The 12,511-nt window shown below is 34.2% G+C and overlaps 1 protein-coding gene across 5 annotated transcripts in view; it reads right to left on the bottom strand.

Annotated features, from left to right (window-relative positions):
• The window catches only part of DYNC2H1 (dynein cytoplasmic 2 heavy chain 1), a 370,438-nt gene that overhangs the window by 217,859 nt on the left and 140,068 nt on the right, over positions 1 to 12,511 (bottom strand). For all 5 annotated transcript variants that reach the window (NM_001080463.2, NM_001377.3, XM_017018291.2 and 2 more), the window contains 5 exons: positions 8,557 to 8,720; positions 6,471 to 6,590; positions 5,765 to 5,899; positions 4,254 to 4,397; positions 2,028 to 2,117 (listed from right to left, as the gene is read on the bottom strand). In NM_001080463.2, coding sequence (NP_001073932.1) covers positions 2,028 to 2,117; positions 4,254 to 4,397; positions 5,765 to 5,899; positions 6,471 to 6,590; positions 8,557 to 8,720 — 653 coding nt within the window. The remainder of the gene's footprint in view (positions 1 to 2,027; positions 2,118 to 4,253; positions 4,398 to 5,764; positions 5,900 to 6,470; positions 6,591 to 8,556; positions 8,721 to 12,511) is intronic.

The raw sequence follows: 12,511 nt of genomic DNA, 5'->3' as shown, positions 1-12,511 counted from the left end.
TATGTTCTTCTCTAAACTGGTTATTCTAGTTAGCAATTCCTCTAACCTTTTTTCAAGGTTCTTAGCTTCCTTGCATTGGGTTGGAACATGCTCCTTTAGCTTGGAGGAGTCTGTTATTACCCACCTTCTGAAGCCTACTTCTGTCAGTTCATCAAACTCATTCTCCGTCCAGTTTTGTTCCCTTGCTGGCAAGGAGTTGTGATCCTTTGGAGAAAAAGAGGCATTCTGGTTTTTGGAATTTTCAGTCTTTTTGCGCTGGTTTTTCCTCATCTTCGTGGATTTATCTACCTTTGGTCTTTGATCTTGGTGACCTTCGGATGGGGTTTTTGTATAGATGTCCTTTTTGTTGATGTTGATGCTATTCCTTTCTGTTTGTTAGTTTTCCTTCTAACAGTCAGGCCCCTCTGCTGCAGGTCTGCTGGACTTTGCAGGAGGTCCACTCCTGACCCTGTTTGCCTGGGTATCACCAGCAGAGTCTGCAGAACAGCAAAGATTGCTGCCTGTTCTTTCCTCTGGAAGCTTCGTCCTAGAGGGGCACGCACCAGATGCCAGCTGCAGTGCTCCTATATGAGATGTCTGTCGACCCCTTCTGGGAGGTGTCTCCCAGTCAGGAGGCACAGGGGTCAGGGACCCACTTGAGAAGGCAATCTGTCCCTTAGCAGAGCTCAAGCTCTGTGTTGGAGATCCGATGCTCTCTTCAGAGCCAGCAGGTGGGAATGTTTAAGTCTGCTGATGCTGCGCCCACAGCCACCCCTTCCCCCCAGCTGCTCTGTCTCAGGGAGATGGGAGTTTTATCTATAAGCCCCTGACTGGGGGTGTTGCCTTTCTTTCAGAGATGCCCTGCCCAGAGAGCTTCTGAAGGATTTATTCTGTATCTCAAATAAAGATCCTCAACAAAATCACAAAAATTACTATCCTGTTCTAAAAATACATTAACTGTATATTTTTCAACACTTTCTAAGAAGCCTATATAATTGAACCATAATAATTCTATTTCTCTGAATTAATTGCCTTTACAAAGCTATTCTGCAACATTATGTCTTAAGCTATACCCACAGATTGCTATTTAAAAAAAAAAAAAATTCTGGCTGGGCATGGAGGCTCATATCTATAATCCCAGCACTTTGGGAGGCTGAGGAGGGCAGATCACATGAGGCCAGGAGTTCGAGACACCCTGGTCAACATGGTGAATCCCTCTCTCTACTAAAAATACAAAAGTTACCCAGGCATGGTGGTGCACGCCAGTAGTCCCAGTTACTTGGGAGGCTGAAGCAGGAGAATGACTTGAACCCAGGAGGCAGAGCTTGCAGTGAGCCAAGACTTCGCCACTGCACTCCAGCCTGGGCAACAGAGAGAGACTCTGTCTCCAAAAAAAAAAAAAAAAATTCTAAGTACAAAAAGGCCTCTGCGTTTTCTAATATCTAAAATTTCTAAAATATTGTCCGATGTGTGTTCTCTTCTGGAACACACGTAATATGAAGACTTCTGTAAAAAATTTCATAACTCAGGATCAAACACTAGTTTACTTCCTAATGCTAACAATGCAAAATAATTTTGTTCCTCAACCCCAGAGACATTGGACAATGTCCACAGACATTTTTTATTCTCACAATTGATGGGAAGGAATGCTGGAAGGCAGAGATGCTGCTAAACATCCTAAAACGCACAGAACAACATCCCACACACAAAGAATTATGTAGCCCAAAATGTCAGTTGCTGAGGATGAGAAAGTCTAGCTATATAATGAGATACATAATCCATTGTCATTATCTCTTTTGGTGACCACTGGAATATTTAGAACTAAGTCAGCTAACGCAGTGTTTGCTGTCCCTTCTTCACTTGTCACTTTTTTCCCCACTACAACCAAGAATGCTATAAGGCATTCCAGTTAAATGTTCTGGAAAAATACCAGAAATACCATTTTTAATACCTTTCCAGTAGGGAAAGAGTTATACTATAACTATAAATATTACGTTAAATCACAGAACAAGTAGTATTTTATATTTGAAAAATATGATGCTTCTTACCTTAAATAGACAACGACATATATATTCATATACCATATGTTGTAATGAGCTGATAAGTGACTGGATTCTCTGTTCTGTATTTTCAGAATCCTGTAGATTATAATTGGAAATTCATTAGGAAATTTATAAACATTTAAAAAGTACGCCTATAAATTGTTCCTCCAGATTCAAAGCTGATTCTGAAACAAGTATCTTTAACCATCAAATTCAAGGGACTAAACAAGTGCATTAAACTTGTATACTAATATAATATTAAAAAATGACGCATCTTTCTTTAATGTATAGAGTTAAAGCTTTCAAGAAATGAAAATTACAATCAATTCCCAATAATACAATATAAGTTGAATTTTATATCAGTCTCCTATCAGCATTAAAATACTATCTACATCAATCTAGGTTAAGGCCATTTTAATTATTTATATTATAATTATCAATCCAGCCCCAAAACAATATGACAAGAATACCTTATAAAGAATTTTCTCATTCTCAATATGGGAACCTCAATGATCTTAAATCATGTGCTGCAGGATGAATAAGGATGAACAATAACTTTGAAATTGATGCTGTAAAAACTCACATAAAATTTTAGTTTTTGATCTGATATAATAATTCCGTTTTGCAAGATTGTAATAATTGAAAAACATGTTATTAGTGTCTATTTCCTTTGATTAAAGAAAAATTGTTTGGCATAGAAATGGAGGAAGGGTAGGTTGTCAACCTGTCCTTTTCCCTTAGTGTGATGTAAGTTTTACATCTCAGAGCATTTGGAGAATACATGTCTTAGGAAGATCAATTCTGGTATAACAATTAGACTAAATTTGCTTGCTTCCTTGTGATTTATAAATTAATACCAAGAAAAAAACCTAGTAAAACAATTTTAATGCTTAGAAAAATACATCCAGGATCAGCAAAGAAATGTGTGAAATTGGTATAAAGAAAACATTATGAACTGGAACTCAGATGCATTAATCCTAGGCTTCTAGCCTTGTAGTAGCATGTTCTAACCAAGACAACTAATCATTACTTTAGATAGCAAATACTTGTATTCATTTCACTATATGTTAACAAAGATCACATATGAAATTGAGACTTGGATTTCCTAAAAGTCACTCTATCATAAGACACAGTACTGTACCTACAAGATCCAGTAGATTTTTTAAACAGCAGAAAGTTTTGTACTCTACATAGATTTGTGACTGCTTCAGCCAGTACAATACAGCAGAAATGACACAGACCTAAGGCTGCATTTTAAAAGGCTATTCAGTTTCAGCCTTATTCACTGAAACACATACTTAGTGCCTTGAGCTAAAAAATAAGAAGTCCATCCATCTACTCAGTGCTGTGAAAAAGCCAAGCCTCCTGCAGAGGTGCTGCAGTTGGCAGTCCTGTCGTCAAGTCCTCCCAACCCACAGCACCAGGCGGGCAAGTGAAGCACCTGTCTTAGCCCCTCAACTCTCAAGTCCTCTCAGCTGAGGTCCTAGACGTTGTGAAACAAACAAAGTCATCCCTGCTGAGTCCTGACTAAATTTCCAATAGAATCAATAAGCATAAGAAAATAGTTTTAATTGGCCAAGTTTCGGATTAATACGATACTCAACAGAAATAATTAGAACAATGTGCATATATGGGAGGTGGTTAAATAAAGTATGGTATAGCCTCACCATCTCTTAAAAACATTAAGTTTATATTCACTGGTAGGAAAGCTGTCCATAATACACTAATACACTTTTTAAAGCACAGTATTGTATCTTTTAGTTAAAACAATTTGTTATCCTTTAATACATACTTCCCTCCATTAGAATACATGCTTGATAAGGCAGTGGACAAGTGTACCTCCATTATCTGGAAAGTTACTGCCTTAAACAACAAGGATATATAATAAAATGTTAAATGTTGTTTTCCCCAGGTAATGATATTATAGGGATAATTCTTATTTTTATACCTTTCAGAATCACTGGGTTTTTTAAATGATTATATATTACTTATTAATTTATACTCAGAACATAAACTGTTTTCATTAAAAAGATTGTCACATTGGGACACCTTGTTAACAATATAAAAAGAAATTAAGTAGTTTCTTTATATAGCTTAAAAGTGTTACATGTGGTCTTTTGGAACATAATTCTATGAAAGTTTGCTTAATAATTTTTATTATAAATTAAGTACTATCCCTAGTAAAGTAATCCCTGTAATTCAGTCTCTGGTACAGGGTATCCAACAGCTTACCTGTTTGTTTTGTAGAGCTCGTTGGAAAAGTCGGAGAAAAGCAGCCAAACTAAAACGGTACATGTTATTAATTTTGGACAAATCAGAAATAATGAAGTACATCTTGCTGGCACTCTCAGCCAGGGGGAGATAGGCATCCCGTTCCTATGGATCAAGAGATCAGTAGGGGATAGGGTGGAAACACCTTAGAATTAGTGCTTTACTGCCACCTAAAGACTACAATGCACATATCTACCCAAGTAATAAAAAAACCTTACTTTTTCTATGCACATAAAACAAATGAAGATGATGAATCATGGTTTCTAACTAAAAAAGATAGCAAAATCTAGTTTTTCTTCCTCATTTTTATAAAACTGCAAAGAATATATGTCTTAGTCTATTAAGGCTACCTATAACAAAATACACTAAACTCGTTCTGCTTTTATATAGCAGAAATTTATTTCACCCAGTTCTGGAAGCTGGGAAGTCCAAGATCAAGGTGCCAACAGATTTGGTGTCTCGTGAGAGCTTGTTTCCTGGTTCACAGAAAGAACTGCTTCTTGCTGTGTTCTCACATGCTGGAAGGGGCTAAAAAACTCCCTTGGCCTTCTTTTATAAGGTTACTAATCCCACTCATGAGAGCTCCACCCTCATGACCTAGTCACCTTCTAAAACCTCCACCTCTTAATACTATTACACTGGGGATTACATTTCCACATATGAATTTTGGGGGTGATGAGGACACACAAATATTCAGACTATAGCAATATATTTTAAACACCTTTCTACCTCTCAGTTGACAGAGCTAGAAGTGGTTCACAGATTGGTCTTAATGAGGACCAACAGCACTAGTATTAGGGGAAAGTGGGTAAGATGAAATGGTAAATATTTGTGATCAGAGAATAGATGATCCAATTTTACATTTCAAAAGAGAATCAGTTAAGGTAACGCAAGACAGCACAGCGCTATCAGGCTATCTCTGATGTGAAGAAAAGTTCGAACTATGAGTATAGGATTGGTGACAATAAGAACACTGATGGAACTAGAGGTAGAGAAGATGACTCTAACAGGTGTCCACATTAGGATAATAAAGTACCCAGCACTGTTCATTATAAGCATGAAAAGAGCCAATAACTGTACCTTAGAGCTTATAACCCTTTTAATTAGTATATTTAACTTGCCTTAACTTAAGAAAAGTTCTAAGAACGGCAAAGATATTCTCTAATACTCATTTTCAATATACTCATTTCCAATTTTAGTACAAAACTGCAGCTCTACCTTAGATAACATTATGCCAGAAATCAGTAGAAGGCAGCAGGGTATACTGACAAACACTCCTTATCCTCAGTGTGCCAACATCTGAATTCCCTCTCTACAATAACTAGAATCAAACCCAATGTTCTGATGTTTTTGAATAGCTTTTTTCTTTTCACATCATCTTTCCCCTGAGGACCTGATTCTACATTTTCTATCATATTAACCTAAATGTTCAAGAAAACATAATACGAAATTACAAAGAAGGAAATAATTACTTGATCAAGGGAAATTTGGAGTTTGTAAGATTCTTTAAGTGACTCTTGAATAAGTGCACTGCTTGCTTTTGTCTGATTCAAAGACTCAATCAAATCCTTATTTTCCAAAATATTGCCTTGAGATGTGGCAAGTGTCTGTAGGGAAAGTTAACAATATGAATATTATTATACATATAAAAATAACCAATTAAAGCAAACCCATATTAACTGTCATTCATTTGATGTTTATGGCAACTTATGTTATTTTAGAAGAATTTCAACATTTTATAGCCCTCTTAAAGTTTTATTCTGTTTTTATTATAGTCTTCTTATATCAAATGAATTCATAAATTATTTTAAGAAATTATATCATTATCAAACATAGCAAGGTATTAATTTTGTCAATTTAATAAAAAATAAAAACTACTTAAAGTTACAGATTGTTATAATTTCTTGCTTTCAATGCTTCTTGAAATTATTAGCATATAATTAAATAATAAAACAATACAAATTAGTTAAAAATTGCTTGTCTTAAACATTGCTCATTAAGATCTTGTATTCCAAAACATAGCTCCCCTTCTTGTTAGAATTTTGACTGTAAGATATACACTAATATGTCTTTGGAAAAAAAAATCTGAAGATACTATTAATTTTCCAAACACTGTTATTTGTATTCATTAAAAAAAAAGTAATACGAAAAAAGTAACCTAAATAGCTAGACTTTTACCTCTAGAAGAGATTCTTCGAGCTTGGCTAGCTGTATTTTCTTATCTTCTTCCTGTTGTAATAGTTTTGTTTTCTGTTCTTCTAAATCAGGTTTCTCATGCTGAATGGTTAAAGCTAAAAGCTTGGGATAACAAAAAGACAAGGTAATTCTAGCAATAAGGCTTAAAACAAAACAAAAACTTCCTGCAAACAGGCCTTGTGTTTGACAGACTATTACAAATATGATACTATGTTATCTCATTTCATTCTTTCTAATTAAACATAAGACACCTTCAACAATTACATCTGATGAAAAAGAGACAAAACAGTTAAGCTGATCAGTAAAATATTAACTACTGTAGAAAAGCTGTAAGAAAGTGCATTACTTAACATATCAATGTGTAATATTTAGTTTTAAATTAAATATACTAAATTATGAGATTACTATTTTTTTAATAGTAAGTATTCACATTAACAAATAAAAAGGGCCAGGCATGGTAGCTCACGCCTGTAATCCCAGCACTTTGGGAGGCTGAGGTGGGTGGATCACGAGGTAAGGAGTTCGAGACCAGCCTGGCTAACATAGTGAAACTCCATCTCTACTAAAAATACAAAAAATTAGCCAGGCGTGGTGGTGGGCGCCTGTAATCCCAGCTACTCGGGAGGCTGAGGCAGGAGAATAGCTTAAACCTAGGAGGCAGAAGTTACAGTGAGCCGAGATTGCGCCATTGCACTCCAGCCTGGGCAACAGTGCCAGACTCCGTCTCAAAAAAATAAAATAAAATAAACAAATAAAAAGATAAAATACTATGTCATCAAAACCACAATAAGATACCACTTCACTCCCACTAGAATGACTACAATTAAAAAGATACATAACAACCAGAGTTGGCAAGGATATGGAAAAAAGCGGAACCCTCCTATATTTCTGGTGGGAAAGTAAATAGTGCAGCCACTTTGGAAAGATTTGTTTCTCAAATTGCCAAATATAAAGTAACCATAAGACCCAGCAATTCCACTAAAAAAACCATTGAATTATACATTTTAAATCAGCAAGTTGTATGGTATGTACATTGTATTTGTTAAAGCTGTTATCTGTGAAGCTGTTGAAAAATGCTATGTCAAATTGTTAACTCTGAATACTAAAATAGAGAAAGACATTGGTATAAAATATGTAATTCAAAATCTGCTGTATAAGCATCTTCATTTAGTTCTTGCTAAGTAAGACCTACATAGCTCCTTTTTTGCAACTACTGTGGAGATCTTTTACACAGCAGGAGCAATTCTGTCAATTAATTCTGCCAAGTTTTGAATGATTGTCACATTGTTTTATTTAAAAGAAGTATCATCAAGTCAATCAAAAGATATTGTTCATTAAAATATACTTGATGAGTCATATGGTATACAAAGAAATATTTTGAAAGGACAATTTTAAAAATTACAATCAAGTAAAAATTGCAGCAAATATGTATGCTATCATATAAATCAAAAGATGAAAAAAATCTACTATTGTTAGATGAGTAAAAAATAGGATGATACTCCAAAAGTCAACTGGCATTATATCTTTAAAGGGGAAAAAATGAGTTAGGAAACATGTGAGTATGGACATGAAAAATCATTTTGAAATTTATGTAATAATTCTGAACTGTAATGAGCCATATGAAGATAAATTGACTTCAAAGATGCCATGTGTTCTAATGGTTAAAAAAAAATGCTGGCTCAGGAATCAAAGACTCTTAACTAGCTGAACAAGTCAATTAGCTACACTTTTCACAATTAAATTTCAGTTTTCAAACCAAAAATATAATGCAGATGATCTTTACGATCCATCAATCTCTCAAATTCTACCACATATAACAGAAATAAACTTTAAAATTAGAGTTATATTAAAAGGAGCAGCAATTTGACATTAGCATCAAATGTACAGGTCTAATACATATGATAAATGAAATAAGCCAGAATGCTTCACTCCAACATACAAGTATTATTTTCAAAATCATAAATGTAAATACTAATTAGTCTAACAAAATAGCTTCTCACTCACAATGTCTAATAGGTATATAAAGCTCGAAAAGATTCCAAGGTAAATTATTATTATCTATGTATACCTGCCCTCGTAATCCACTTCTTGTTGTAGTAAAGTTAACCTCAGTAACAATGGAAGCTGCATCCGGTGGAATAAAAGGATTTGGGTTTCTTGTTGACAAAAAGAGGCGGAATTCTTCATTGTAGTCAATAATTTTGTCACCTATTTGTACCACATAACGTGGTCCTATTTAAAAAAAACACACAATTGGTTGGTCTGAATCTTCTGTATTTCACTATACAATATTTGAAAATATAATTTTTAAGTACTTCTAAATATAGGCTTTTCGACAGAGTCTAAGACGGCAAAAGTTGGGTTACCTGAGATACTATTAGCAGAATGTTCTATTTATCAGCACTTATGCAAGCAATGATAAATAATATTCACTAAGAAGATCCTGGGATACTGAAGCACCCAAGGAATATCTATTCTCATTCAGTATGGTTTTAACATTAATATGTTTCATATTCCAGATTGCTCTGAAATGGCTGATTATAGATGACAAAAATAGAAATCCTCAATTATATTTTTTCTTTACTTCTAAATTCATCATTTTAAAAGTGTTTATTGCACTAGTATTTAAGATACAGTATTTGAAAACAGAATGATGGTTAAAAAAACAGATTATCACATGAGTAACTGAAAAATACACATTATCAACAAAATGAAAGAATAACCTAAAAACTTGGAGTTATTTATAAACCATATATCAGATAAGGGGTTAATATCCAAAATGTATAAAGAAAAAACTCATACAATTCAATAGCAGAAAGATAAATAACCTGATTAAAAAGCAGGCAAAGGACCTGAATAGACATTTCTCCAAAGAAGATACAAATATGGCCAACAGCTATATGAAACGATGCTCAACATCACTTATCATGAGGAAATGCAAATCAAAACCACTATTAGATATCAACTCACACCTGTTAGGATGGGTATTATCAAAAAGACAAGAGATAACAAATGTTGATGAAGATACGGAGAAAAGGGAATTGTTGGTGGGAATGAAGACCAGGGCAGCCATTATGAAAAATGGTAGGAAGGTTCCTAAAGAAATTAAAAACAGAACTACCATATGACCCAGCAATCTTTTTTCTGGGTATATGCCCAAAGGAAATAAGTCACCACCTCATAAAGATATCTGCACTCCCATTTCTTCACAGCATTATTCACAACAGCCAAGACATGGAAACAACCTGAATGTCCATCAACAGATCGGATAAAGAAAATGTGGGTCAGGCACGGCTGCTTATGCCTGTAATCGCATCATTTTGGGAGGTTGAGACGGACGTACCACTTGAGACCAGAAGTTCAAGATCCATCTGGGAAACATACTGAGACCTCGTCTTTGCAAAAAAAAAAAAAAATGTTTTTAATTAGCTGGGCATGATGGTATGTGCCTATAGTCCAACATACTCAGGAGGCTGAGGCCAGAGGATCATTTGAGCCCAGGAGTTCGAGGTTACAGTGAACTATGGATCACACCACTGTACTCAAGCCTGGTGGGCAACAGAGTCAGACCCTGTTCTAAAAAAATGAAAGGAAAAGAAAAGAAAACATGATGTGTATACACAAACACCCACATGCACACAATGGAATAATGTTCGGTCATAAAAAAGTAGATCCTGCCATTTGCCATAACATGTATAAACCTGGAAAACATTATACAAAGTAAAGTAGGCCAGACACAGAAAGAAAATTACTGCTTGATCTCAAATATATAGAGACAGAGAATAAAACAGTATTTACCAGGGGCAGGTAGCAGGGGAATGAAGGAGGGGATGGGAGATGTAGTCAAAGAATACAAAATAGCAGATATGTAGGATGATTAAGTCTAGAAATCCAATGTACAACATGAGGACTGTAGGTAACAAAACTATTGCATTTGGGATGTTGTGCTAAAGGAGTAGAGTTTAGCTGCTCTTGACACACAAAAAGGGGGCTAGCTGTGTAAATTGATAGATATGTTAATTTGCTTTACGACAGAAAAGCATTTTATGATATATATGTATCTCATAATATAATGCTGTAAATCTTAAATATGCACAATAAAATATTTTTTAAAAAACCCAACAAAAAAGTTGAAAGTTAAAGAATGGCAAAGTATATACCATGTAAATACTAGTCCAAAAAGTTTGTGTAACCACTCTAATATCAGACTCTAAAGCTTGAAACATTTATAGAGATAAAGAAGAACATTTCATAATGATAAATAAGACAACTGAATAGAAAGATGTCACATTTCCAAAAATGTATGCATCTAATAACATAGCTTTCAAAATATTTAAAACAAGAACTGACAGAACTAAAAGACAAATTCAAAATCACAGAAACTTTAGGATATTTATCTCAATACACGATAAAGCAAAGAAAAAAAATAAATTAGGGCATAGATTTGAACATCACAATTAACAAACTTGACACTATTAATTAACCTGTACAGAAAATTAAATGAAGCAAGAGCAAAATTCATACAATTTTCAAGTTCCATAGAACATTTATAAAAAATAACCAAATGCCAGATCAGAAAGAAGGCTCAACAGAATTCAAAAAATTAAAATACTTTACAATAAGTTCTATGACTAAATGGAGATAAGCTACATATCAATAACAAATATGTAACTAGAAAATCTCCAACCACCTGAAAATTAAACAACAAAATACTAAGGAATTTATAAGTTGAAAAAAGAAACTGAAACTTGGGTAGGAAGCTGAAGAAGGGCTTAAAGGAAAATTGATAGACATAAATGCATATATTAGAAAAAAGAAAAGACTATCAATATTTTGATTTTCCATTTCAAAAATCTAGAAAAGACCAAATAAAATTTGGAGAAGTGATAGGAATGAAATAACAAAGAGCAACATCAATTTTAAAATACAGTTCAGAAAATCAACATTAAAAGTTGGTTGGCTACGCACAGACTTGGGAAATATGGTAACATTAGATAGTGGGATTCCAAAAGTGAGGGGGGATCGCAGGCTAAAAAACTTCCTCTTGGATACTATGTCCACTATCTGGGTGACGTGATCAATAGGAGTCCAAACACAGCATCATGCAATATACGCTTGTTAAACAAACCTGCATATGTCCCCTGTGAATCTAAAATTAAAATTTTAAAAATTGAAAGTTGGTATTTTGAAAAGATTAGTAATATTGATAAATCCCTATCAAGACTAATCAATGAAAAAGATAATAAAAATTATCAATATCAGGAAAAATGAAACATCATTACAAAGCCAACAGACATTGAAAAGATGAGAATATTATTTAAAATATATATTATGTGATAATTTAGATAAAACAATCACCTAAAAAAATACGACTTAACCAAAGCTGACAGACACACAAAAAACACAATAGAAACAAAACAAAATAATCCCAGTGTTTAAAGAGCCATAGCTCACGTTTACCAGCTCTTTACAATGAAAGATAGAACATCATGGGAAATTGTGCATTATGTCAGTACAAAGGACTTAATAGAGGCTTGTTAGAGGATTTTGGCTTGTGTTAGGCGATTTATAAATAATTCAAGAAAAATGTACTTTTCCTGGGAATTGGGTGTGATCAGAAAGAGCAAACAATGGTTTAGTATCTTAATTTTTATGTATATGTAAGAGAAATGGAGTGGGACTAAACTATCATTGGTAAAGAAGCAGGAGTCACTCATATTAACTGGGAGAAGAGAATGTTTGGTTATTTTTGTGTTATGGAAAGTGTTCCTGTTTTTTGTGCTCAAACATGACTGCAGTCAGAGTGACCTCTCTGATGTTGGTGTTTTATGAAATGATTTATGTTCAACAGGAGTACACAAAGTCCAAGCTATTAGAATCTGGCCAGATCTCAGTCTAGAGTAGTCAGGTGCTGCTTTTTTTCTTTCTCATTTACTCAAAGTACAAAAAGAAGCAAAACTTCTCTATGCTGTTGTAAGTTAGGAATGTGGTTATCCTTGTGGAGAAGAGGTGTAGTAAGTAAG

Source organism: Homo sapiens, chromosome 11, assembly GCF_000001405.40.
Source record: "Homo sapiens chromosome 11, GRCh38.p14 Primary Assembly".
NCBI classification, from domain to species: Eukaryota; Metazoa; Chordata; class Mammalia; order Primates; family Hominidae; genus Homo; species Homo sapiens.
Note: the sequence above shows the minus strand (reverse complement) of the source record. Positions and strands in the feature narration are given on the sequence as shown.